This window comes from Homo sapiens, chromosome 1 (assembly GCF_000001405.40).
Source record: "Homo sapiens chromosome 1, GRCh38.p14 Primary Assembly".
Taxonomy (NCBI): Eukaryota; Metazoa; Chordata; class Mammalia; order Primates; family Hominidae; genus Homo; species Homo sapiens.
In genome coordinates this window covers 34,874,745-34,901,557 of record NC_000001.11, presented here as the reverse complement: position 1 = coordinate 34,901,557, position 26,813 = coordinate 34,874,745, and the positions used below count along the sequence as shown (strand labels likewise).

The following is a 26,813-nucleotide window of genomic DNA, read 5'->3' as shown; positions in this document are numbered from 1 at the left end:
ATGACCAACTCGCAGACAAGGAAACTGACACTTAGAGGTTAATCTGTTTTGCTTAAGTTCACCTATCCAGCAAGTGATGGGGCCAGAATTGCACATGGATCTTCTAATTCCCGAGCCTGAGTTACTAACCTCTGAACGCACTGTGGCATTTGACATAATCGACTCCTTTTATTCTTGAAATGTCTCCTGTTTCTATGACATGGCATTTTCCTGACTTCCCTCCTACCCCTCTGCCCACTCCTTCTCAGGTGACTTCACAGGCTCCTCTTCCTTTCTTCACAGTCCCTTTTTAAATGTCAGTGGATCTCTGCTCATCTCTCTTCTTCTCTCCCCTGGGCTGTCTCATTCACTGCTATGGATTCAGCTGCCGCCCATGACTCCCACATGTCCGCCTCCAGCCCCGATCTCCCCACTGAATCCCAGAACCAAACATCCAACCACCTGCTCAACAGTTCTATGCCAAGCTCAAGGTGCTCAACCCCGACCCTACCACCTTTCCCCAGACTTGTTTCTCTGGGGTTCTATGGCTCAGTGAGCGGCAGCACCCTCCCCCAGGTCCTCAGCCAGCAGCCTGGCAGTCATCCTCGACTCCTCCCGCCCCCTCATCCCCCACGTCTAATCAGGCTCACTGATGCTCCTTAACACCTCTCATTTCCATCTCCTCCTCTTCCCCCTCATTGTCATTGTCTTAATTTAGGCCTCATCATCTCTTGCCTGGATAACAGCATCAGCCTCCTAATTGGTCGTCCTCTCGCCACTTGAGCCTCTGCCCTGCTCCTGGCCCTCCACAATCCAGCCTCTGTTTGGACTGTGGGAGAGCTCTTTCTGCAACACAAATCTGATGTCACTCCCCTGCATGAAGCCCTCTGTGGCTCCCCACAGCGGGGAAGGAGAGAGGATTTGGAATGTAAGCAGGTTGAAAGGATGAAGGAGAAGGAGGGGTAGAAGGTTGACTGAGGTCAGGTGATGCCTGACTGCTGGGCATGGGATTGACACAGGTCACTTTGGCCTCTGATCATCAACCGCTTGACGCCTGCCATGTCACTCCCTCAGACTCTCTAGGTGGCCCTTAATTAAGTGCAGAAGGTCTGTGGAGGATGACGAGGTGTCTCTTGTAAGGGACGGGGACAGCCTGAGACCCTACCTCCCCTTCTGCCTCTGCATGTACCTGAGTGTGCCTGTTCAAGCCAGGGCAGGGCATCTCCCACTGGCAGTGGGGAAAGAGTCCTGGCCTCTAGATTTACTAGGGTCATGTCTGAGAGACAGAGACCCCTGTTCCTGCAGGTGCCGCAAGATGACTGGGGGGGTTACCCCACCGGTGGCAAGGATGGGGAGATCCCCTGCCGCAGGATGCGGAGCGGCAGCTACATCAAAGCCATGGGGGATGAGGAGAGCGGAGACTCAGACGGCAGCCCCAAGACATCTCCCAAAGCAGTCGCCCGACGCTTCACCACCCGTCGCTCCTCCAGCGTGGACCAGGCCAGGATCAAGTAAGGACAGGGAGGGCCGGGGGGTGCGGGGTCAGGAGGCTGATGCTGGACTCCTGCGGGAGATGTGTGTAGAGTGGGTGCCAGTCAGGTAGTCCTGCTTAGGTTTCAACTGGGGTGTCTCACTCCACTCCATGTAAAGGGAGGGTCTTGGTGGGAGTCCTTCTCTGGTGCCTCTTTGGGAGTCTCTTTACCCAGGGTCTCCTAAGGGATCTCTCTTTGGGGGTTCTGAGGAATAGGACTTACTCAGGGGCCCCAGTGCTATTATCTCCCCTCCCCCACCTCCTAGCAGTCCACTGTTCTGACTCCGGAATTTTGCCCTTTTCCAGCTGCTGTGTCCCACCCCGGATCCACCCCCGGAGCTCCATCCCTGGCTACAGCCGTTCCCTCACCACTGGACAGGTAGGGAGAGGCCCAGTATGCCTGGAGGAAAGAGTGAAAAAGGGATTCAGTCCCATGCTCAGCTTAGGACTTAAAATCAGAGGGTCTGCCTGTGGAGAGAGCTCAGGCCTGGCTCTGGGGAAACTGGGAAACCTGCCTTAGGACTCCTGGAGCTGACTCAGGCTGGGAGTCTCAGAGAATCACAGCCTTAAAACCCACCAAGTGTCCTCAAAGTGATGAGCTTGTAAGGGCAACGCCAGTGCCCTGGGGCTCTTCACAGGCCTGATTGCTCCCTCCTTGCCCCCATGTAAAAGGTAGGATTGGCCGGGTGCAGTGGCTCTCGCCTGTGATCCCAGCACTTTGGGAGGCCGAGGTGGTCGGATCACGAGGTCAGGAGACCAAGACCAGCCTGGCTAACACGGTGAAACCCCGTCTCTACTAAAAATATAAAAAATTAGCCAGGCATGGTGGCGGGTGCCTGTAGTCCCAGCTACTCGGGAGGCTGAGGCAGGAGAATGGCGAGAATGAGCCGAGATGGTGCCACTGCATTCCAGCCTGGGCGACACAGTGAGGCTCTGTCTTAAAAAAAAAAAAAAAAAAAAGTAGAATTGATTTGTACAGACAGGGCGCAGGCCAAGCTGCAGCCTCAGACATGATCTGGGCCTGAATTCTGCCACCTTACCCCTCTGTCCTGAGGAACCACCAGCAAGAGACCTTACTTTTCAACACCTCCATTTCTCATCTTTAAAATGGCAATGGTTAGGGACAGTTATTTTGCAGGGGTTTTTGAGAGTTCAGTGAGAAAATGTATGCAAACACAAGGTACTTGGCCCAAAAATGGCATTTTATAAATGTGAGTTCCATATCTAAGTGTAGACTTTCCCCTTAATTAGACGGAAGCAGCAGCATTTAGTGATTAAACACATGAGATGGGGTTGAATTCCAGCTTGGCTACTTACCAGCTGACTGACCTGGGGCAAGTTACTTGACTTTTTTTGAGCCCCACTTTCCCTTTTTAAAAATAGGCATCATAATAGTGTTCTTGGCACATAGCCAGCACTCAATAAAGGTTAGCTATTTTTACTGTATGCTGGGGAAAAAATGCAATGCAAAAGACTGTCCACGTTGGCTCTCATTGTTCACTGCTGCAGTCTCTCAGTATTCCTTTGTTCCATTGCCTGAACCAGGAAATCTGATTGGCACAGCTCTCTTTTTACATCAGACCAGCCTATGTTGTTAAACCCACGAGTTAATGCTTAGCCCTCATTTTACCTCACCCATCAGCCACATGTAACACAGTTGAAGACTCCTTCCTTCCTGAAAGACTTTACTTGGTTGGCTTGGAGGACACCACACCCTCTACATTCTCCTAGATTCCCTCCCTGGCTGCTTATCCTCAGTCTGTGTCTTGGGTGCCTCTATAACTCCCCAGGATCTAAACACTGGAGTTTTCTAGGGCTCAGTCCCTGGACTTCTCTCTATACCTACTCCTTAGGTGATCTTGTCTGGGCTCATGGCTGAGAGCCTGATGACTACCAAATGTATATCTCCAGCCCAAACTCTCTTGTAAATGCCAGGCATATATGTCTAACTGTGTATTGAAATCTCATTCGGATGTTTAGTAGACATCTCAAACTTAAGATGTCCAAAACTAAACTGCTGATACACACACCCTCCACAATCCCCTCCCGCCCCTGGCTGCCGCAGTTGCTGCTCTATCCTCTGAATTCTCCATTTCAGATAATGGCAACTTTATCCTTCTAGAAGCTCTGGTTTAAAAGCCTGAAGTCAGTCTTGACCACTTTCTCTCTCTCACAACTCACCTCCAATCCTTCAGCTGATCCTGCTGGTCCCACCTTTAAAATATATCCAGGATCCAACCACTCCTCACCATCTCCACTGCCACCGGTTCTTCCAGGCACCATGTCCTTTTGTCTGGACGATGGCACTGCCTTGTAGTTGGTCTCCTGTATTTGCTCTTGCTCCACTTCATCCTCTCTCATTACAGCCCACATGATCTTTAAAAACTATAATCACACTCGCTCTTCTGTTCAAAACCCTCACGTTGCTCAGAGTAAACATCAAGAACCTAACCATGGCTTTCGAGGCCTGCATGACCTGGTGACCTCGCTGGAGTGGAGCTGCCTCTGAGTTCCTCTCCTAAGGCTGTTCCCCTCCCTCCCACTCCAGCCACACTAGACTCCCTAGGGCCCTTGCATTTGCCACTACCTTTGCCTGGATGTCCCCTTCCCAGCCACTCCCATGGATCACTTCCTAACTTCTTTCAGGTCTTTTCCCAAATGCCCTAAAATTTTAATTTAACTCTCCCTTTCCAACATTTCCTATTCCCCTTCCCTGTACTGTCATTGTTGAGGTCTTCTCTGTCTTCTTCCTCCTGCTCTTTCTCCTTCTTCTTAGCACTTTGCATTATCTAACATCACATATACTTGACATATTTAGCCTGGAGGTATGGCTTCTTATTCTTGCTTTATAGAAGATGAAATAAGTTTAAAGCACTAGAGATGTCACCCTATTATGTCTCATAATACTTTTTTCCTCTTCAGTCTATTTTTTTTTCGTTTAGTATTTGCCTAAAACACCTTTTTCCATCTTTTACTTTAAAGCTTTTTGTCTATGTCTCAGGTATATTTTTTGAAAATAGTTATAGCTACATTTTACCTATATCCATTCTGATAATTGCTTGAGAGTTTAGTACATTTATATTTATTGTGATTACAGATTATCTGTGATTACCCCTTGGCCTAAACCTAGGGTAGTGTGATGACCCTAGCCCTAACCCTTGGGTTTATTTCTGTCATCTTATTTTGTGCCTTCTATTTATCTTGCCTTTGGACTGGTGCTTTCCTGCTCCTTTGCTGCCTCCTTTTGGTTTGAGTTTTCTTTATTCTTCTCCCCACCAAATCCCACACTGGTTTAATAGTTATATATTGTATTTTATTCTTTGTGGTTACCCTTATAATTTTCATATGCATATTTGACTTAACGTCTGAAGCTGACAGTTTTTTCTGTGCTCCTCCTAAACAATACAGAGACCATAGGACAGTTTGATTTTGTGTGTGTGTGTGTGTGTGTGTGTGTGTGTGATGGAGTCTGGCTCTGTTGCCCAGGCCAGAGTGCAGTGGCTAGATCTCTGCTCACTGCAACCTCCATCTCCCGGGTTCAAGCGATTCTCCTGCCTCAGCCTCCCGAATAACTGGGATTACACGTGTGCGCCACCACACCTGGCTAACTGTTTTGTATTTGTAGTAGAGACGGGGTTTCACTATGTTGGCCAGGCTGGTTCCCAACTCCTGATATCAGGTGATCCACTCACCTTGGCCTCCCAAAGTGCTGGGTTTACAGACATGAGCCACCACACCTGGCCGACATTCTGATTTTGATGACCTCTTCCCTTCTTGTTCTTCTTTTTTTTGGCAACAAAAATTTATTTTCTCACAATTCTGGAGGCTAGAAATCTGACCAAGGTGTCAGCTGGAGTGGTTTCCACTATTCAGTAATTTGTATTTTTATATTTTTTATGTTGTTGTTTGGAGAACAAAACATTTTAAACTTGATGATGCATAATTCATCAATTTTTCTCTTCTTGATTGTGCTTTGGTGTAAAATTTAAGAAATCTTTGTCTAATGCAAGATCACAAAAATTTACTCTAATATTTCTCCTAAGAATTTTGTAGTTTAACATTTATATTTAGATGTATGACCCACTTTGAGTAGTGTGTGTGTGTGTGTGTGTGTGTGTGTGTGTGTGTGTATGTGTGATTCAAGTTAGGGGTCCAGCTTTATGTTTTTGAATGCGGATATCCAATTTTCCCAGCATCATTTGTTGAAAAGGCTTTTATGTCCTCATTGAAATTTCTTGGCCCCTTTTTCAAAACCAATTTACCATAAATGCATGTGTTTATTAATGAACCTTAAAATTTATTCCATTGGTCTGCTTGAACCTATCTTTATGCTATTACCACATGCTTTGATTGCTGTAACTGTGTGGTAAGGATTGATTTTGGTAAGCTGAAATTATACAATTTTGTTACTCCTTTTAAAGACTGCTTTGTGTTTTGTGTTTCCTTTGCATATACACATGGATTTTGGGTAGGCTTGTTGATTTCTATAAAAAATATAGTTGGGAATTTGAAGGGATTGCTCTGAATGTGTAGATTAATTTATGGAGTATTGTATTCTTAACAATATTAAGTATTATTATCCTTGAATATTGGATGTATTTCCATTTATTCAGTTCTTCTTTGATTTCTTTCAGCATTTATTTTACTTATTATTATTATTATTTTAATTTTTTTTTTTTTTTGAGACAGTCTCGCTCTGTCGCCCAGGTAGGAGTGCAGTGGCATGATCTCGGCTCACTGCAAGCTCCGCTTCCTGGGTTCACGCCATTCTTCTGCCTCAGTCTCCGGAGTAGCTGAGACTACAGGCGCCCGCCACCACGCCTGGCTAATTTTTTTGTATTTTTAGTACAGACGGGGTTTCACCGTGTTAGCCAGGATCGTCTCGATCTCCTGACCTCGTCATCCGCCTGCCTTGGCCTCCCAAAGTTCTGGGATTACAGGCATGAGCCAATGCTCCTGGCCTATTTTACTTTTAATTTTTATTATAAATTGACAAATTGTGGGTGTATATATTTATGGGGTATAAAGTAATGTTATGACTTATGAATACAATATGGAATAATGAAATCAAGTGAATTGACATACCCATCACCTCAAATACTTAAGTGATCTTAGGACACTTTAATTTCCTTGACTTCTTCCCTTCTTATGTGGACTTATTGCCCAGTATTTTAGTTCTACCTTTTAACCTGTCAAATTAGTCTCTATTATTATTGTTACTTTTTATATTATTAGCTCTTGATTGTATGTACTCACATCTCTACCTTTTTTACTCCTCACTTTACCTCCTTACATCTCATTGTTTCCTCCTAAAGTATATTCTTTAGTAATTTTTTCAGTGAATATCTGTTAGTAGCAAACTTGGACTTTAACAAAAAATATATTTTACCCATACTGTTTGATACAGTTTAGCTTATTGTGGGAATTCTAGCTTAACATTTATTTTCTCTAAGTGTTTTGAAGATATTCTTTTGTCATCTGTCTGTTGTTGCCGTTAAGGAGTCTGCTATCATCCTGATTGTCTTTGTAGGTAGTTTTAATTTCTCTCAGGTTGCTGTTGAGATCTTGCTTTGATTTTATTGTTCTGCAGTTTTGCTATGATATATTCATGTGTGTGCTCCATAGGTCTGTGGATTCATGTTTTTCATCAATTCTGGAAAATTCTCTCATGGTATAGTTTGCATAGTATATCTTTTCCCCATTCTTTTACTTTCAACTGTTTGTGTTTCAGATTTAAGGTATGTCTCCTGTAGACAGCATCTAATGGTTTTTTTTTTTTTTTTGCTTTATCTTATCACTATGCCTTTTGAATGAGTGTTTTTGTCCATTCATGTTTTATTTTATTTATTTAATTTGTTTTTGAGGAAGGGTCTTGCTCTGTCATTAAGCTACAAGGTAGTGGTGTGAACATGGCTCACTGCAGCCTTGACCTCCCAGGCTCAATCAATCCTCCCACCTCAGTTCCCCAAGTAGCTGGAACTAGAGACACATACCACCATGCCTGGCTAATTTTTGTATTTCTTGTAGAGATGGGGCTTCACTATGTTGCCCAGGCTGGTCTCAAAACTTCTGAGCTCAAGTGATCCACCCACCTTGGCCTCCCAAAGTTCTGGGATTACAGGCATGAGCCACCATGCCAGACCTTCACATCTTAATGTGGTTATTGATGTGGTTGGACTGTCATATTATTTTTTGATCCTCTGTTCCTTCTTTACTGTCTTCTTTTGTATTAAATCAATAAATATTTTAGTGTACCATTTATATTTATTTGTTAATTTTTTACTATACAATTTGAGTTACTTTCTTAGTGATTGCACTAGGAATTACAATGTATATCTTAGCTTATCAAAATATAATTATGGTAAAATATAGGAGCATTGCTCTAATATAACTCATTTTCCCCCTTTTTGCTATTACTGTCATATATTACCTATATATGTTTTAAACCTAACACTTGTTATAAACCAACATTGGTATTATAATAAGTGCTTTGTGTAATCTTACATCTTTTAAAGAAGTTAAGAGAGGAAGTGAGGAAAATATATTTATAGAGGCTCTTGTATTTACTCACATATTTACCATTTCTGGTGCTCTTTATTTCTTCTTCTGTATTTGAGTTACCATTGGCTATTACTTTATTTTCCCTTTAGCCTGAAGGACTTCCATTAGTGCTTCTCATAATATAAGTCTCCTGGCAATAAATTATTCAGTCTACATTTATCTGGAAATGTTTTTATTTTTACTTCATCTTGGAAGAATAGTTTTGCTGGATATAAAATTCCTGGCTGACAGTTATTTTTCTTTCAGCACTTAGAATATACCACTCCACTGCCTTCTGGTGTTCATTGTTTTTTTTTTTTTTTTTTTTTGAGACGGAGTCTCGCTCTGTCGCCCAGGCCGGACTGCGGACTGCAGTGGCGCAATCTCGGCTCACTGCAAGCTCCGCTTCCCGGGTTCACGCCATTCTCCTGCCTCAGCCTCCCGAGTAGCTGGGACTACAGGCGCCCGCCACCGCGCCCGGCTAATTTTTTGTATTTTTAGTAGAGACGGGGTTTCACCTTGTTAGCCAGGATGGTCTCGATCTCCTGACCTCATGATCCACCCACCTCGGCCTCCCAAAGTGCTGGGATTACAGGCGTGAGCCACCGCGCCCGGCCGTGTGTTCATTGTTTTTGATGAAAAGTGAGTTGTTTCCCTCTATGTGATGAATTGTTTTTCTTGTGCTGCTATTAAGATTTTCTGTTTTCAGCTTTCAACATTTTGACTGTAATTTGTGTGAATATAGATCTCTTAGTGTTTAACCTACTTTAGGTTCATTGAGCTTCTTTGATCTCTAATGTTTTTTGTTTTTTAATTAAATTTGGTAGGTAGGCACAGTAGTGGGCACCTGTAGCCCTAGCCACTTGGGAAGTGGAGGCAGTAGGATTGCTTTAGCCCAAGAGTTTGACCTGTAGTGCACTATGTTATGATTGTGCCTGTGAATAGCCACTGCACTGAAGCCTGGGCAACATAGTGAGACCTCATCTCTAAAAAAAACAAAAACAAAAAACGAGAACAAAAACAAAAGGAAAGTTTTTGGCTATTGTCTCTCCAAATATTTTTTTCTGCCCTATCTCTTCCTTTTCCTCTTTTTTTCCCCTCCTCCTTCTGGAACTCCCATCACATGCATGGTGCTATGCTTGATGTTGTCCCATAGGCCTCTGAGGCTGTGTTCATTTCTGTTTAATATTTTTTCTCTCCATTATTCATATTGGATAATTTATACAGATCCATCTTCATGTTTACTGATCATTTATTATGGTGAGCTCCTCTACTGAATTTTTAATTTCAGTTACCCTACTCTTCAGCTCCAGAATTTCCATTTGTTCCTTTATTTAATCTCTCTCTCTTTGTTGTGATTTGTATTCATGAAGTCATTGTTGTCATGCTTTCCTTTAAATCTTTAAGCATGGTTTCCTTTAATTCTTTGATATATTTATAATAGCTGCCTTGTAGTCTTTGTCTGATAAAAGCAACATTTGGGGATATGCATACCTTCTTGTTTATTTGCATGTTTCATAATTTTTTGTTAAATACTGAACATTTTAGATAATATATTGTAGTAATTCTAGATTATGTTTTCCTCTTGAAGATTGTTATTGCTTTGTTTGTTAATCCCTGAATGAAATCTGTGAAATCTGTCTTCCCTACAACATGTGGCCTCTGATGTTTCCATTCAGTTTTATTTCCTTCTTATTTTTATTTTAAGCCTTGTTTCTTAGGGGTTTCCCCCATATCTGCATAGCTTAGTGTTCAGCCAGAGATTTTTCGGAGGTTGTGCTCAAGAACCTCAAGCTAGTTAGACTTTGTGTCTGCCTATAGTTCTATGTGTGAGCTGGGGAGGGCAAAGTTCAGGTTGTTTTCAAACCTACCCTGGCTTTTACTCTTCACCAGACTCTTTTATTTCCCCTGCACACATATATAAGCTCCATTGGCTAGGGATGTGTGGGTGGCTCAGGCTTCTCTGGTCTCTGCTGTGCATTCACCCAGCTTCGAGTTAACCCAAGATATGTGGAGAGCTTATCAAACTCCCTTGGTCTGTCTCACTCCCTGGAATTTTCTGATAAATTCCTGGTTAGTTTGCCAGTCCATTGTTTGGCCCAAACATTGCTGAAACCCAGCCTAACAGTGCTTCTGGCCTTTCCTGTTCTTGATATTATAACTGACAATGCCCCAAATTAAGTGGAGCCCTCTGGCAGAGGCAGTGAAGCAGCTGATTTTTCACAGGCGGCACCACGTTTGTTGAAGTATTGCAACTGATAGCATTGGGAGCCTGGTGAACGAGAGCAGCCTCAGGCAAGAATACTATAGAGTCGTGCTATTCTTACCCAAAGTCCAGTAATTTTTATGAATACATGTTTCTTTGTTGTATGTCTTTGATTGATTTGCAGAGTGATAAAATGGTGGGTTTTGACAGTTTGTCCTGCTTTAGAGTCGTATTTTCTTCTGTTCTCAGTTTTATCTTTTAAGCTTGGAACTTTTAAACATCATTTAAAAGTTATTTTATTTTAGCTAAGGTAGCACTGGCTGCTTTAACAGAGAAATCTTGAATTCTCAATGGCTTAACTCAATAAAAGTTAGTTTTTGTTTATGTCACAATTTGTATTTTCTATTGCTATGTAAGTTATCCCCAAATGTAGTATCTTTAAACAACAAATATTTATTATCTCACAGTTTCTGTGGATCAGGAATCTGAGTGCAGCCTGGCTGGGTGCGACTGGGTCAAGTGTCTCACAAAGTTGCAATCAAGGTGTTGGCCAAGGCTGCAGCATCTCAAGGCTTCACTGGGTGAAGATCTGCTTCCATGCTCACTCACATGGCTGTTGGCAGGCTACAGATCCTTGCTGGCTACTAACCAGGGACATCAATTTCTTCTATGTGAGACTCACTACAGGGCTACTCACAGCATAGCAGCTTGCCTCCCCCAGAGCAAAGGCTTTGAGAGAAAGAGAATAAGAAAAGGTGTCTAAGATGGAAGCCACAGTCTGTTTGTAACCTAATCTCAGAAGTGATATCCCATTGTATCTGCCATATTCTATTCATTAGAAGTGGGCCAATAAGTCTGGTCCACACTCATGAGAAAGGGATTACACAAGGGTGTGAGTTCCAGGAGATGGAGATCATTAGGAGCTATTTCAGAGGCTGTCTCCCACATAATACACTCACCTTCAATGGAAATTTATCTGTGAGAAGCATGAGCAGCTTGGGTTAGGAGTGAGTTCCCCAGGAAATATTTTGCAGTTGCTTCTGTTGGAATATGCCTGGTTTGGAACTATTTTATGCTAATTTTTAATTTTAGGGGTGTGGCCCATGAAGGTTCATGCAGATACACTGTACCGTGGCTGTGTGAGGACCAGCTTGTAGGTACAGATTCTTAGGGGATTTGCCTCTTTTCCCTTCCCGCCATCCCTGTACTTCAGACCAGCTTCCTTGTCATCAGCCTGTGGTGATGACTAATTTTTTTATTCTAGTCTACATTTTCATCAAAGGTTTCACTTTTCCTAACTTTATGCAGGTTCTCCTTTCCAATTCCACGCTTCATGTGGGCCCAAAGCCTTCCTCCTATGCCCAAGTGGGTGTTAAAACCTAAGCCTTTACCAAAACGCTGAGACCAACAGCCCCTGCCCCCACCTCCCGCCTCCACTGGGCTGTTTGCAGCATTGGCTCACACAGTTAATATTCTGATTTTCCAGTCTCCTCTTTGCTTTTGTCCCCTGGGGACTTATCTCGCTTTCTTGTGAGCTCAGCTATGCATATAAAGCAACATTTGTTATATTTCATCCAATGTTTTGAAATGGGAGAGTTTTCTAAAGGTTATCTAAACTAAATAACACAAGTAAAGTATACACGATGTTGCCTGGCCCCCTGTTGGACCCACCAACTCTAGTCTGGACAATTTCCAATTAGACACAAAGCATTTTTACTTTAAATATTTCATGAGCTTGGAAATGGCTACTGATTCCAGTCTGGTTTGGAGAAAGGCTAAGGATCTCATCCCAAGAGGATTCTTTGACTTTGAGTCTCCTGTAAATGGATGTTGGGGGAAGCAGGGTGGAAGTCAGTGCAGGGATAATAGGAGCATTCACAGTACAATGTTACAGTTTTATAACTGTAGGATAGTAAAGATCAACATGGGTGTAATATTTCTCTGAGAGTCTCTGAGTCCGTGTTTCCCTTGTGTCCTGGTCTCCTGTTGGAACCCCAGAAGCTCCTCTTGGCCAGCTGAGCTGGCGGGTGTATGACCCCAGGGAGTTGTTCACCTTCTTTTGTCTGCCTTGGATAGAATTGGTTGTGAGTATTGCCTGTGGGTGGGATTTCAAGAGCTGCAGAACCCCAGGGAAAGAGGCACTTCTCATTCTGAGTGGTATTGTCACTGCGATTTAAGAGCCTCTTGTTGCTAATAATAGTAGCTATAGTTTATTGAGCATCTACTGTGTGCCAGATATTATGCCTAGTGCTTTATACACAGAAGAGGGCTAGAGATACAGAAATATACAACAGAGTGAGATTCCTTTCATCCCTGGTGTCTGGACTCGAGACCAGTGTGCTTTCTGCTAGGGTTAGATTAGCTCCCCTGTGCTCCAAGAGGGACACTCTGGGCTGCATTTGTTCTAATTGGGGAGTGTCTTGAGCCTAGCCCAGAAATAGCAGGAGTTAGTTCAGTTCCTGTGTTTTAGGAAATACGCTGGCAACTGTTGTCTTTGGTGCCCCAGAAATACAGAGACAGAAAGACTGAGAGGTAGATGACAGAGCATCATGGTGAAAGCCACAACTGTCACACAAGTGTGGCTTGTGTCAGTCAAATATGAGAGAACTTAACTTCTGCGGGGTCTTGGATTGATTTTCCATGGCCTGGGATTTCCATACACTTGTAATGAAGCTCCTTTAGAAAAAGCTTCAAAAAGTTCAGACAATCCTTCTTTTCAATTAGTAGGCCCACATTGGAACCAACGAATCTAAATCTCCAGCAAATTTGGCTCTGAGCTTCTAAGCAGCCAAAGCAAGAGAGGTGTTTTGTTAACCTTGGGTTCAGATCCTTGGGGTGGGGCCTGAGTTAATGTAGGTTTAACAAGCTCCCCAAGAGAATCTGTTGCTCAGTCAGCCTTACATGGGAGCCAGGAAGCATGACATTTAATTTCAGTTTTATCACCTACCAGCTGGGCATCCTCAGACAATTCACCTGCCCTCTCTGGGTCTTGTTTGCCCATTAGTAGATTGGAATAGAAATGGCTCTATTTGAAGTAGAATCCAGTGAAATCATGTTATGCTTTGGAGGCTGAATTATGGAAACACTGAGCTGCAGTTTACACATGGATCAGGCCACTCCTTTGAGCCTCTGTTGACTGCACGTAAATATAATGCCGTGAATCTTTCCTGGGAGATGTCACAAGATGCAGCCATGTGATACTTGCTGTTATGTTTGCCATGGGATGCTGTCGAGGACCTTATCCATGACTTCATCCAATGGACTCTACATAATCATCCACAGGGGATGATTGTCTCTTAGTCTCAGGGACAGGAATTGTTGTGGTTCTCATGGGCATCTGGCCTGTGTTTACCAGGGAGGCCCTGAGACCTTCGCATGCCGCTAGCCGAGGGCTTACTATGTGCCAGTACCTGTACCAAAAGGCTCACATGTTTTTCTTTCAGTCCCCTCAATAGCCCTATGAAGATGGTACCATTATCACTCCCATTTGACAGCTGAGCAAACTGAGGCCCCCAAACTTTAACTTTCCCAGGCCATTCTGCTAGGAAGTGGTAGAGCCAGCACTTGAATCTAGGAGAAGTCTCACGCATAGCCCATGCAGGCAACTCTGAGGCTATACTCCCTGATGCTTTGCCTGCTTGGAAGCTCAGGGTTAAACATGTGCCCATCTTGAGCAATGTTCAGGACTTTGTCACCTGTGTTCTGGGTGTAGCACTTACCTCGGGTAGCACCTTTTCCTGCCTTTACTTTTTCTTTGCACCAGTTCTCTCTTGTAATGTGAATGAAGCTGCAACCTCTGTGGTATATTTAGTCTTCATGTGGTGGTGTGCGGCACAGTTCCACCAACAAAATTTTTGTTTTGCTTTTTTTCATACTTTAACTTTTTTTTTTTTTAACACCATGGATTCTGCACCACCAAAATACGAAAAACAAAACCAGAACCTCATCCAGCAATGGCTAAGCTTTCCTCAGTGGGGGAGGGTAGAGAAGGAACCCACAGGTTAAGCCAGAACCCGAGTGAGTGGATAGAAGGTTGGGGAAGGCAAGGGCCGGGTGCGGTGGCTCACGCCTATAATCCCAGCACTTTGAGAGGCCGAGACGGGCAGATTATGAGGTCAGGAGATCGAGACCATCCTGGCTAATACGGTGAAATCCTGTCTCTACTAGAAATACAAAAAAATTAGCCGGGCGTCGTGGCAGGCACCTGTAGTCCCAGCTACTTGGGAGGCTGAGGCAGGAAAATGGGGTGAACCCGGGAGGCAGAGCTTGCAGTGAGCCGAGATCGCGCCACTGCACTCCAGCCTGGGCAACTGAGCGAGACTCTGTCTCAAAAAAAAAAAAAAAAAAAAAAAAAAAAAGAAGGTGGGGGAAGGCTTGGGACACTGGTAGGTTAATAACTTTGCTCCATCACTTACGCATTAGTTTCCATCCTGCCAGTTGGTATTTTATATATATATAGCATATATACATGTAGTGTATATATATAGTATATATGTAGTATATATATAGTACATGTATGTAGTGTATATATATACACAGAGCTTTCAATCAATTTTGTAATGTAATGGATTATAAATAATAAAAGATGTCCTCCATGAAGTCCCCACCCCCATACTGGGCAGGAGGGTGCATGCCAGGTCCCTGGTCCTCTCTGTTGGGGTCAGGTGAGAGAAACGTCAGGGGATGGGACTAGGTGGAGAGAAAAACATGGTGGTCTGCAGTCTGGAGTGCAGCCAGCCAGACACCTGGAAGAGGCATAGGTGGGGTGGAGGTGGGGGTGGGGGTGGGATATTTAGAGGAAAGACTGGGCCCCAAGACAAGCCTTGGGAGCAGAGTGGGGCAGAGATGCCCCCATCTTTCTTTGCAAAGAGTTAGAGTTTCTTTTAGTTCAAATGCGGAAGAGTCGCCTACAGCCTCTGCAGATATAGAGAGGTCTTCCCCTAAGGCAGAGCACCCCAGGGACTTCCACCCCCTCCCGGCACCTTATAACTGTCCTCCCGACCCCCTGCCCCCCAGCTCAGCGATGAGTTGAACCAGCAGCTGGAGGCCGTGTGCGGGTCGGTGTTTGGGGAGCTGGAGTCCCAGGCCGTGGACGCCCTGGACCTGCCCGGCTGTTTCCGCATGCGGAGCCACAGCTACCTCCGGGCCATCCAGGCCGGCTGCTCTCAAGACGACGACTGCCTGCCCCTCCTCGCTACCCCTGCCGCTGTCTCAGGGAGGCCCGGCTCCTGTGAGTACACCTTCCTGCCCCTGGCCCGGCCCTAGGCAGGAGAGCGCCCTGGGTCCGGGTTCTGGCCTCCCCCTCGACTGTGCTGTGACCCGCGCAGATCGCTCGCTCCCGGGGTCGGATGACGGGGAGAGCGTCCGTTGGCGTGTGTGCAGCAGCATGTGGAGTGCGCGCCGCTGCAGGGTCCCGTAGGGCCTCTTGAGGGTGGGAGTCGGGCGCGGGCCCAGGACCCAGGCAGGGCCGCGAGCCTCACCCACTGCGTCTCTGCGCTCGCCGGCCACAGCCTTCAACTTCAGAAAGGCCCCGCCCCCCATCCCGCCGGGAAGCCAGGCCCCGCCCCGCATCTCCATCACCGCCCAGAGCAGCACCGACTCCGCGCACGAGAGCTTCACGGCGGCCGAGGGCCCCGCCCGGCGCTGCAGCTCCGCCGACGGGCTGGACGGCCCCGCCATGGGTGCGCGCACACTGGAGTTGGCGCCGGTGCCGCCCCGGGCCAGCCCCAAGCCCCCCACACTCATCATCAAGACCATCCCTGGCAGGGAGGAGCTGCGGAGCCTGGCGCGGCAGCGGAAGTGGCGGCCGTCCATTGGGGTGCAGGTATGGAACGGGGAGGCGCCCACGAGGGCTCTGACCCTGGTCGGTCGGGGCTGGGGTGAGGGGCTGGAAGCGGCCTTCTGGATATATCGACATTCTTTCTGGCTTGCCCTGAGCTGCAAGTGAACCCCGTGCCTGGACATCGACGGGGCTGCTCCAGCCAGCCCCCGCCCACTCCCTCGTCCCTCGTCCTGGCACCATCGCCCCTCCTGACTAATGGAGGGCTGGAGGGCTGTGCCCAGTGGTTGCCACTTTGAGGCCTGTGACCGACCGCCTGGGTCTCTCATCTTGTTCAGGCAGATGGTCTTTGCAGGACCTGCCAGCTGGCTTGGGGCGCAGCCATTGCTAGCCGTTCTCCCCGGGAAGGGCTTTCACCTTGGCTCGCCACAGCCACTGACTCCTCCACCCTGCCACCAGGTGGAGACGATCTCAGATTCGGACACCGAGAACAGGAGCCGGAGGGAGTTCCACTCTATTGGCGTGCAGGTGGAAGAGGACAAGAGGTAAAGTCACGGTGGGAGTGCCCAGGCTTCGCTGGGAGACAGGAGGAGAGAGGGCTGCATAGTGTCCCCACTAGCCCAGTCTCCCTGCACATCCTCTTTTCCTGGAAGTGAGACCAAGCCTTTTTATAGAGGGTGGTCAGAGCAGCCACAGGGGCTGTTCCATAGAGATGTCACCAGAGGAGTCATCAAACCTAGAGTTCTTGTGCCCATGCCCACCCCAGGTGCTCAGAGGCAGACGGGAGATACACAGCAGTTGCAGGGAAGGAGAGGATGGGAAAGGTTACATGTAGGTGCCGAGCAGGCCTCCAGCAATTGTCCTTTCCAGGGGATGATAGGATCTGCCAATCCCTCATTACATCCTGTGGTGTACAAGTATGTGAGCTCAAAAAGAAACAAACGGGAAGATTGCCTCTCAGGAGCCCCTGGCAGATATAACACTCCTCCTCACTTGGCTCACACAAGCATTTAACCAGTTGGGGGTACCTATTACATGCCTGAGTCTGTGGTGTACCTGAGATAGTACAATTAGCAGCAGCCACTATTCTGGCATTAGGTGGCCTCAGAAACATTGACTCCTTAATTTTCACTGAAGAATTAGCATTGCCAGCTCTGGAGGGGATACCAGAAAGAGGCCTCTCTGTTGTTGGGTGCCTATGGGGAGAAAGGGTGTCTGGGAGCTTGCCAGGGGCTGGCCATAACGGTTTCATGGTATCTGAGCTTCCCAGGCCATACGACTGGAGGAATAAAACTAGTGTCCCAGGCCAGGTGCGGTGGCTCACGCCTGTAATCCCAGCACTTTGGAAGGCCAGGGTGGGTGGATCACTTGAGGCCAGGAGCTTGAGACCAGCCTGGCCAACATGGCAAAACCCCATCTCTACTAAAAATACAAAAATTAGCTGAGCATGGTGGCACACTCCTGTAGTCTCAGCTGCTCGAGAGGCTGAGGCATGAGAATTGGTTGAACCCAGGAGCCTGAGGTTGCAGCGAGCTGAGATTGCACCACTGCACTCCAGCCTGGGTGACTGAGTGAGACTATCTCAAAAAAAACCCAAAACACAAAAAACCAGTGTCCCACTAGCAGTGGTTCCTCGCAGCTCTGTTCCCAGTTGCTGTCCTTCGCCCAGATTTCCCCAGCTATTTCTGGGATGTCCTTGGGATGTCTTGTGTTTGTGCCTGATGAAGTTTTTTTGGTGTTCCTATGGGATTCACCATTTTTCTCAACTTCTGATTTGGCTCCCTGAAGTTCTGTGTGCTCCTGGGGCTGTAAATGCCTTCATCGAGGGTGGCATAATGCTGCCCTGGTTGCCTGCATGACTTCTAAACCTGCTGTTCACCAAACTTTTACTGTGCCACAAAGATTTCAGAAAAATAGCATTTTATGGCAAACCCAATTTGCAAATCTGTGACTTGAATTATTGAGAGATGGGGTAGGAGTCATGGATGGATGCAACTCTATGTTCTGAATCCTACCCACCCCCAATTCTAGTGCTATCCCATGGACCACCAAGCCCACTCACTCCCTTTAGAGGCTTTTTGGTTCCTTGTCTAGATAGGTCCAGGGGGGTGGGGGTTCCCCACATTCCTCCTAATAACCCTTGAATCCTGGGAAGAGTGCTGCAGGCCTTCTAGCTGAGACTCTTGCTAAATCAGCAAACTCTTGTCATTGATTGATTGATTCATTCATTCATCAGATACTTACTAAGCACGTGTTGTATGACAGCTCCTATGCACTGTGTTAAATGCTTCAGGAAACATCAAAGACATGACTTCTGCCCTCACAGAAGCTATGGTCTAGAGGGAAATCAAGGCAATGAATAAATAATCCTTGAATAAAAATATGACAACACATTATGATATAATAGGTAGTGGGATTTTATTGCATATTATGTAGGAATATGAAAGAAAAAGGAGGAGATAAGAGAGAAGAAGGGACCTTATTTAGATTAACAGGTGACATTTAAGCTGAGACTTGAGGATTGACTAAGAACTCTCAGGTGATGATTGGAGGAAAAGCATTCAGGGGAGAGGGAATAGCATATGTGGAGGTGTTGGGGCAGGAAAGAGTTTGACATGCATCGGGAACTGAAAGAAGGTCCATGTGGCTGGTGTGGAGTGGGGCAGGGGAGTGGGAAGGGAGTTAATTGGAGAACAGGCAGGGGCAGGTTATGCAGAGCATGGACATGATAAGGAATTGGAATCTAATTATGAGTAATGAGTAGCCATGTAAAGGTTAAAGAAGGAGTGCAACATGATCTAACTTATGTTCATGAAAGATCACAAGCTGCTGAGTGGAGAATGAATTTGAAGAAAGCAATAGTGGAAACGAGAAGGCTAGTTAGGAGGATTTTTCATGATCCAGAAGAAAGGTGATTGTGTTTTGCAATGTGGTGGCTATTGTGATTGGGATGTTTTTCTTCTATTGCATTTTACAACTAGGCACTGCTAGTGTGTGGTAGCACTGTTAGGTTTATTTATTTTTATTTTAATTTTATTTTTTTTGAGATGGCATTTTGCTCTTGTCGTCCAGGCTGGAGTGCAGTGGCATGATCTCGGCTCACTGCAACCTCTGCCTCCCGGGTTCACGCCATTCTCCTGCTTCAGCCTCTCAAGTACCTGGGATTACAGGCACCCGCCACCACGCCTGGCTAGTTTTTTGTGTTTTCAGTAGAGATGGGGTGTTGCCATGTTAGCCAGGCTGGTCTCAAGCTCCTGACCTCAGGTGATCAGCCCGCCTCGGCCTCCCAAAGTGCTGGGATTACAGGCGTGAGCTACCACACCCGGCCTCTACTGTTAGGTTTTGTATGTTTTGTATGTTGATTTTGTATTCAGTAACGTTGCTGCTGAATTAGGTCTCTCTTATTAGTCTCATAGGTTATCTGAAAATCATGATGGGCTTCCTATATAGTCAGTTATTTTTCTGTGAATGAAGATATTTCTTTTAAATCTGTATTTTCATTTATTTTTCTTGTAATATTGCATTGAATAGGACTTCTGTTCACTGTTCAGTAGTATTGACTTTAGTGGCTATGTTTTTCAAGATGATGTTTGCTACAAATTTTGATGGATACCATTTGTCAGGTTAAGGAAATTCCTTTCTATTCCTAGTTGGATAAGCATCTTATTTTTATTTTTTAAAATAGAAAATATGAGTGAAATTTTATTGAATGTTTTCTCAGAATCTATTTAGATGATCATAGATTTTTCTCCTTCCATGTGTAACATGGTGAATTATATGAATGAATGGATTTTCCATTCTTTCATTCCTGGGATAAACCCTGCTTGATCCCATTGTCAGTTTGGATTAAATTTGGCTGTGAGTCACAGGGCCTCAGTAGTGTCTTAAACAAGTGTATTTTTCTCTCACTTAAAAAAAAAAAGCCAGCTTAGATGTAGGGAGTGCAGTGTCAGAACTCCAGGCTCCTTCTATTTTGTACATCACTTCATGTCTAGGGACCTTAAGTTCAAGCTCCCCCAGTCATGTCTGCATTCTGAGCAGTGAGAAGGAGTAAAGAGGAAGAGGGATGCAGTCCATCCTTTTTAAAAAGACTTCCTGCAAGTTACACACAACCAGTTTCATCACATTGGCTAAAATCTCATCACATGGTGGCACCTAGCTGCAAGGGAGGCTGTGGGGTATAGTCTTTTAGCTGGGAAGCAATGTGGAGGGTGTAAACTACATAGCTAAGAATCAGGGTTCTCATGACTAAAGACAAAGAATAGCTATGTGGAGCTCTAGGGGTTTTTGTTACAGTTTTGCTATATTATTTTTATATACAGTATTAGATTTTTGAACAGTTGCTACTTTAAAATTTTAAATCATTTAGATTTATGAATGTATCATAAGTGATATATCATAATAATTGTAAGCCTACAATTTTTTACTGCTTTTCAATTCAGGTATTAGAGCTAAGATAGGCTCCTAAAATGAATTTGGTAGGTTTCTCTGTGTTTTTGTTCTTTGGAACAATTTGTGTAAGACAAGACTTATCTATTCTTTAGGTTTGGTAAAGGTTGCCTATAAAATTATCTATGCCTGATGCCTTTTGGGGATAGGAGAGACTTTTAAAACTACAGCTTCAGTTTCTTTAGTGATTATTGACCTATTCTGGTTTTATTTTTTTTCTTGAATCATTTTGGTGATTTATATTTTATTTAAAAAAGAAACATAAGAATTGACAGTTTTCAAAGTTTTTGGCACAAATATTCTTTCTCATAGTATTAAAATGTTATCAATATTTATTGCATCTCTATATTGATATCTCCCTTTGCATTTCTTCTTCTTTTTTTTTTTGAGACAGAGTCTCACTCTGGAGTGCAGTGGTGTGATCTTGGCTCACTGCAACTTCCACCTCCCGAGTAGCTGGGATTACAGGCATCTGCCACCATGCCCGGCTAATTTTTGTATTTTTAGTAGAGACGGGTTTTCACCATGTTGACTAGGCTGGTCTCGAACTTCTGACCTCAGGTGATCCGCCCGCCTCAGCCTCCCAAAGTCCTGGGATTACAGGCGTGAGCCACTGTGCTTGGCTCCCTTTTTATTTCCAATACCATGTATTTATGTCTTACCTCTCTTTCTTGAGTCAGCCTTGCCTGAGGTTTGTATATTTTATAATTAAACATATTTTTAGGCTAGACCTAGTAACTCATACCTATAGTCCCAGTACTTTGGGAGGCTGAGGTGGGATTGCTTGAGATCAGGAGTTCAAGATGAGCCTGGGCAACGTAGTGAGACCTGATCTCTACAAAAAATGCAAAAATTAGCTGGGCATGGTGGCATGCATCTGTAGTTCCAGCTCCTGGGGAAGCTGAGGCAGGTGGATAACTTGAACCCATGGGTTTGAGGGTGCAGTGATCTCTGATCACACCACTGTACTTCAGCCTGTCTCTGAGACTCTGAGACCTTGTGTCAAAGAAAGAAAAGGGGGGGAAAGAAAAAAATACATATGTTGAAACTTACATTTTATTCGTCTTTGAAAAAAACTAGTTTTTTGTTTTGGTGAGCAATCTTTAATATTTCCTTCCTTCTACTTTTGGTTATTTTCTTTTGTCTGCTGTGTTTGTCTTTCTTTATGCCTCTTGAATTCATCCCTAACTTTCAATATTTTTTATTTTTTAACATGTGCTGTTAGGGCTATAATTTCCCTTATAACTATATCCTTTTATGGCTATATCTCATAAGTTTTGGGAAGCGGTATTTTTATTGTACATATTGAATATGTAACTTTCATCTTTCATCACTTTTGTCGTAATTTCCTTTTTAACCTATGAATTTTTAGAATAATTTTTTTTTTTAGTTTTCAAATGAATTTTTTTGACAAGGGACAGCCTTTTCATTATTGATTTCTAAATTTGCTACATTGTGGTCATATTATGTACCTATTATATTTATTGCTTAGAATTTGTTGAGACCTCCTTCATCATATGTATATATATCATGTATCAGGGGTCCCCAAACCCCAGGCCAGGGACTGGTATTTGTCCATGGCCTGTCGGGAACCAGGCGGCACAGCAGGAGGTGCGCAGCAGGTGAGTGAGCATTACTGCCTGAGCTCCGCCTGCTGTCAGATCTGCGGTAGCATTCGATTCTCATTGGAGCCTGAACCCTATTGTGAACTGCGTGCATATGTAAGGGATCTAGGTTGTGTGCTCCTTATGAGAATCTAATGTTTGATAATCTGTCTCCCGTTACCCTCAGATGGGACCGTCTAGTTGCAGGAAAACAAGCTCAGGGCTCCCACTGATTCTACATTATGATGAGTTGAATAATTATTTTATTATATATTACAATGTAATAATAATAGTAGAAATAAAATGCCCAATAAATGTAATGTGCTTGAATCATCCCAAAACCATCCCCTACTATGCCCCCCCGCAGCTTCTGGAATTTTTTTTTTTCTTTTTTTTTTTTGAGGCAGAGTCTCGCTCTCGCCCCGGGTGGAGTGCAGTGGCGCGATCTCGGCTCACTGCAAGCTCCGCCTCCTAGGTTCACGCCATTCTCCTGCCTCAGCCTCCCAAGTAGCTGGGACTACAGGTGCCTGCTACCATGCCCGGCTAATTTTTTTTGTATTTTTAGTAGAGACGGGATTTCACCATGTTAGCCAGGATGGTCTCCATCTTCTGACCTCGTGATCCGCCCGCCTCGGCCTCCCAAAGTGCTGGGATTACAGGCGTGAGCCACTGCGCCCACCCAGCTTCTGGAAAAATTGTCTTCCACAAAACTAGTCCCTGGTGCCAAAAAGGTTGGGGACGGCTGTCATATATGGTCAAATTTATAAATTATATTTTTCAAATGTTTATCTTTTTTTTGTACATTTGATCTATCAGTTCTGAGAGGTGTGTTAAAAATGTCTCACCATGATTGTGGATATGTCATTTTCCCTGGTAACTTTGTTGATTTTTACTTCAGTTTGAGAGTGTGCTGTTTATAAGCATTCAAGCTTATGATTGTTGTATCTTCTTGGTGGCTTGGCTCTTTTAATATTAAATAGGCTGCTTTTCATCCTTACTAATGGCTTTTGCCTTGAAGTCTTTTTTACCTGATTTTTATTGCTATGGCTGCTTGCTTTTGGTTAATTTTCCAATACATCTTTTTCCATCCTTTTATTTTCAACCTTCCTATATCCTTATGTTTTAGATGTGTTGCTTATTTTTTTATTTTTATTTTTATTTTTTTGAGATGAGTCTTGCTCTGTCACCCAGGCTGGAGTGCATTGGCGTGATCTCAGCTCACTGCAACCTCGCTTCCTGGGTTCTAGTAATTCTTCTGCCTCAGCTACCTGGGTAGCTGGGTTTACAGGCATGTGCCACCACACCTGGCTAATTTTTTTGTATTTTTAGGAGAGACAGGGTTTCGCCATGTTGGCCAGGCTGGTCGCGAACTCCTGACCTTAGGTGATCCACCCGGCTCAGCCTCCCAAAGTGTTGGGATTACAGGAGTGAGCCACGGTGCCTGGCCTATATGTGTTGCTTATAAGCGATTTATAGCTAGAGTTTAGACATATTTAATCCATGTATATATTTTTCATTACTGACTTGAGTTTATTTCTATCATCTGTTTAAAAATTTTCTAGTTGACATGCTTTTTCTTTGCTTTCTCCCTTTCTTTTTATCTTATGTTGAACTGATCAACAGTAAATAGAGTTTACTTTCTCTTCTTCACTCCACTGGTTTGGAAGTTTACATTTTAGTAGTGATTTCCCTTAAACATTTGACAGATATACTTAATTTCATATTTTCCTAATAACGTCTAACATTAGTCAGTACTTCTGTCCTTCTTAGGCACAAAACAAGAATCTTGGAACACTTTAATTTCCTTCTTAAGTTTCTCCTCCCATCTTCCATGTTATGTTTATCTAGTAGTTTGATTATACCTCTTAAAAAGTCTCTGTGAAATCAGCTGCTGTTGTATCTTTTATGCTTTAACAGTTTAGATTTACATACGTGTTTCCGTAATTTGTGTGTTCACTATTGTTTTTTACTGCCCTCTTCTTTCTCCTGGTTCAGTTTCCTTCATGCTGAAGCACTGCTTGAAGTTTTAAAGTTAATATCTCCCTTTGAGGCTTGAGGTTTCTTGTGTTTCACAGGTAATACTCATTTGAACCCCACACCTCCACACAAGGAAGCCTTCATGTTCCGATTTCCCAGCATCCTCCTTCCAGGCCACATTCCTGCATCCCTGGCATGAGCGTTTTGAGTCCAAGTTTGCAAATGAAACAGACCTTCTTGGCTGCCGACTTTGCGCACAGGGTCTCTTTCCAGCTCCCCTTGCTGCGCAGGTTTGGGGTCTCTCCTCTCATCCTCCCTCAGCGTTTTCATCCAGCCTCTAGCATATGTCTGGTCTGATCTCCCTGTGGTTCACTTGGCTTAGACCCCCTCTCACTATATGTTCTTTGAATTTCCTTCCTGTTTCTGATACCTGGACATTTCTCATTCCTATTTTCAAACCCAGCATTGTAGCAAAAACACCTTTTTGATTTTTAAAAACCCAGCATTTCTATGCGTTTAGGGTGTGAGTGGGAGCTTCCTAAGTTAATTCAGTCTACTCTATTGATCAGTGGTCTGGGTAAGGCTGATAGCAGTGGATACAGAGAGAAGTGGGCCAATTTGAGCAGCATTTTGGAGTGAAAGTCAGGGAAGGGCAGGGACAGGCAGAGAACGTGGCCTTCCTTGCTCTTGTGTAAGTGCTTGGTGAGGTCTTGATGTGGCGGGCTGAGGAGAGGACATGGTGTTGAATAAGCATCGAAAGAACCAAACTGCCTGGGACAGGTGATCACACTGGGAATTCAGAGGGAGTGACAGGTGGGGAGAGGGGAAATCTGGCCCATCTCTTTGGCCAGGCTCCCTGGCCTGTCTGCTGCAGGCGTCCTTAGTCATACACCTGCACAGTCCTTTCTGTCCCTTATGTCCCTGGCACTTTAAGTCTGACTCCTCACACACCATGCCCCAACTGGTGCATAAAAGCGAGCCATGAATTCCAGCAGCCTCGCCTGGCCAGCATTCAGGCCTGGCCCGCCACACACAGCCCAGCCCCATTTTCTTTGACTCTCTTGTCCTTACTGCTGTCTCGCTCATCCCAGTATCTGTTTCTCTCTCTGTAATTTGGTTTTAAAAATTGCTGAGCAGGAAAGGTCTCTTCTCTTCTGCCTTTCAGGGTGTTCCCTGCTCACCTCTTGGGTGAGGATTTTGGACTTATTGTCCCTTCTGTCTGGGAATTGTCTGTGAGTCCTTCCAGTTGCCCAGTGTCAGTGATGACTTGGCTTAGAATATAAGGGGAGGGGGCTGGCACCCCTTCAGTTCTATCTCCACTGCACACCCCCACCCCCCCGCCAAGATTCATCTGTCCACAGATATTTATTGGATCTGTATTATTTGCCAAACACTGTGCTGGGCACTGAGGATGCAAAGGTGAGCAGAACCAGAGACAGCTCCTGCCCATGCAAAGCTTACCACGAAGTTAATCTAAGAATCTCATTAATGATGTAGCCGCTGTGCCGGCTGCCACAAAGGAGCGGCATGTGAGCCATGACAGTGTAGACTATGGGGCTTTGAGTCTGCCAGAGGGGTCAGGCATGGCTTCCCTGGGAAGTGACATTTGGGTGGAGATCCGAAGGATGAACAAAAATTAACTGAGTGAAAAATGGGAGATAAGGTTCCAGGCAGAAGGAATAGCATATGCTAAGGCCTTGTGGTGAGAGAGAACATACTTAATCAGTTACCAGCCGTGTCTCAACATGTCCTTATGGCACCTGTTTCCCTAGACCCAGCACACTCTGGGCCATGATAAAAGGATGCATCAGATGTCTTGCTGAATATTAGCAAGGGGCCCTCTGAAGTCATAGAAAATGGGATTTTTGCCTCCAACTCTTTCTAACCATAGGGATCTGCCTGTATCTTCCACCTCTAATTCCTCCCAGACAGACCTTATCTTAAATTGTAAATTTAGCAAAAACAAAACCAACAACATCAACAGCAAAACCCACCAAAATAAAGAAACAAAAACCACCAGGATGCCCAGTTAAATTTGATGATCAGATAAATAATGAATGCATTTTAGTATGTCACATGCAATATTTGGGACATACTCATAGTAAAAACATCTGTTATTTATCTGAAATTCAAATTCAACTGGGAGTCCTATATTTTATCTGACAACCCTACTCATACCTGCTTGTGCCCACGAAGGGCCACCTGGAGAACTCTGTGGAGGAAGACCTGCCTACCCTTTCCTTAACATTATGGTCATTTCTAGCTTTGGGAGTTTGGGAAGGGTATGTGCTGAAAGAATGGCCCCTTGAGGCCTGGGAAAGAAGCTTCCATACCCATTAAGTTATATTCCAAGAACAGTCCTGCAAAAGCAATAAGAAGCTGACTGCCCAAAGCCCTGGGCACAGATGCTACCTCCATTCCTGAGCCTGCAAATTTAGGACGGTTTCTGACTGACCCTCATGACTCCTCCTGAATCTCCCACCCTAGCCCCACCTTGGCATCCCTGTCACAGCCCCCAGGCTGGAGTGGTGGGTTCAGTGACCCCTGCTTGATTATATGTTTAGGCTCTTAGATGCCTTCACACAGGAGCTTCTATAGAAGCTAGTTTGAAGGCTATGCCTAGTTGAAATGACACCGTCCTTCCCCCTCCCTGCCCACTCCCCCTCCCACCCTTCCTGCCTGCTGCCAAATACTCCTGGCAAAACCTCTTGACAACTTCTGGATATAGAGCTTTCCTTGGATACTGTG

The 26,813-nt window shown here is 44.8% G+C and overlaps 1 protein-coding gene across 4 annotated transcripts in view, besides 3 other annotated features; it reads left to right on the top strand.

Moving 5' to 3' along the window:
• DLGAP3 (DLG associated protein 3) overlaps positions 1–26,813 on the top strand; it is a 64,215-nt gene that overhangs the window by 28,093 nt on the left and 9,309 nt on the right. For 3 of the 4 annotated variants that reach the window (NM_001080418.3, XM_011541879.3, XM_047426631.1), the window contains 5 exons: positions 1,285–1,490; positions 1,817–1,889; positions 15,273–15,486; positions 15,767–16,080; positions 16,495–16,580. In NM_001080418.3, coding sequence (NP_001073887.1) covers positions 1,285–1,490; positions 1,817–1,889; positions 15,273–15,486; positions 15,767–16,080; positions 16,495–16,580 — 893 coding nt within the window. Of the gene's footprint in view, positions 1–1,284; positions 1,491–1,816; positions 1,890–9,551; positions 12,341–15,272; positions 15,487–15,766; positions 16,081–16,494; positions 16,581–26,813 lie in introns of those variants that run through there. The other variant, XM_011541880.3, reaches the window with a different exon arrangement.
• Positions 15,696–15,895: a silencer, noted in NCBI's record as "silent region_630". NCBI's record gives its function as "represses an Ori minimal core promoter by ATAC-STARR-seq in GM12878 lymphoblastoid cells {active_cell/tissue: GM12878}" and the evidence as "EXISTENCE:reporter gene assay evidence [ECO:0000049][PMID:35858748]".
• Positions 15,696–16,832: a biological region, named in NCBI's record as "H3K27ac-H3K4me1 hESC enhancer GRCh37_chr1:35350327-35351322".
• Positions 15,837–16,832: an enhancer, noted in NCBI's record as "H3K27ac-H3K4me1 hESC enhancer chr1:35350327-35351322 (GRCh37/hg19 assembly coordinates)". NCBI's record gives its function as "activates a minimal SCP1, AML or CMV promoter by ChIP-STARR-seq in primed H9 embryonic stem cells {active_cell/tissue: H9 hESC(primed)}" and the evidence as "EXISTENCE:reporter gene assay evidence [ECO:0000049][PMID:30033119]".